Here is a 998-nt window from a genome sequence, read left to right on the forward strand (position 1 = left end):
GTGATCCAATTTCTGGAATAGTAATAGACATTTTCAGGTTTTCTACTTCTTCTACAATCAATTTTATGTTTTGGTTTTATAGAAAATTGTCCATTTTATCCGTTTTCAAATTTACTGTCATAAATTCATTCTGTGACATTAACTTCTTCTTATTCTCTACGATATCAGTCTTGTACCCCTTTCACTTTCTAATATTCTTCGCACCTTCTCTCCATTTTTGTTGATCATTCCTGCCAAGGTTTGTCTATTTAACTAGGCCTTACAATGACCCACTTTCTGATATGTTTGAATTCTCTTTATTATATCCTTGTTTTTACTTATTTCTATGGTTTATTTCCTTTCTTTCTTCTTTCTGTCTTCTTCCCCTGACTTATTAAGTTGTATACTTAGGTCTTTAATTATTGATGTTTCTCCATTTATTCTATGAGCATTTAAAACTGTCAACATTCTTTGAATCTCAATCATGGTGGCATGTTTCTTATATGACTTTCAATACGTTTGAGCTACTTGAGCAAGTAAAACCTGTTGGAATTCAGAAGGCCCTCAGTTCAGACTCAGCAGAGGATTTTCTTTGGCTTTGGCCAGGTGCCCAGGCACTGCCAGACTGGGACTACTGTGTTAATTTCTCGGTTTAGGGTTTCCCAGCTCATGCAGGTGTTATAAATTTAAACCTCAAACCCACACAAGGGCAGGGCTGTGGTGATGAATTCTCGAGAGAGACAATTATTTTTTTCTTCCTCCTAGATTTAAAACAAAGAAACAGTTCTCTCGTCATCTCCTTAAAGGCAGTTTCACTGAGAGGGTAGCACTTCAGGGCCCTGAATTTATGGGACTTTCCCCTTCTCACGCTTCTCCTTACACAGGCTCCATCTTCTGCTCCATCTTCGCCTCCTCTCCTGGGTGTTGCCATTACAATTCCATATTGGTAGATGGCCTCAGCGAGATTCAGTGTGAAGTATTATTCTAAATAATTGTTTAGTTTTTATCTTTTGATTTTT

The 998-nt window shown here is 37.2% G+C and overlaps 1 annotated feature.

Annotated features, from left to right (window-relative positions):
• Positions 695 to 754: a silencer, noted in NCBI's record as "silent region_16071". NCBI's record gives its function as "represses an Ori minimal core promoter by ATAC-STARR-seq in GM12878 lymphoblastoid cells {active_cell/tissue: GM12878}" and the evidence as "EXISTENCE:reporter gene assay evidence [ECO:0000049][PMID:35858748]".

The sequence above is a fragment of the Homo sapiens genome, chromosome 5 (genome assembly GCF_000001405.40).
Source record: "Homo sapiens chromosome 5, GRCh38.p14 Primary Assembly".
Lineage (NCBI taxonomy): Eukaryota > Metazoa > Chordata > Mammalia > Primates > Hominidae > Homo > Homo sapiens.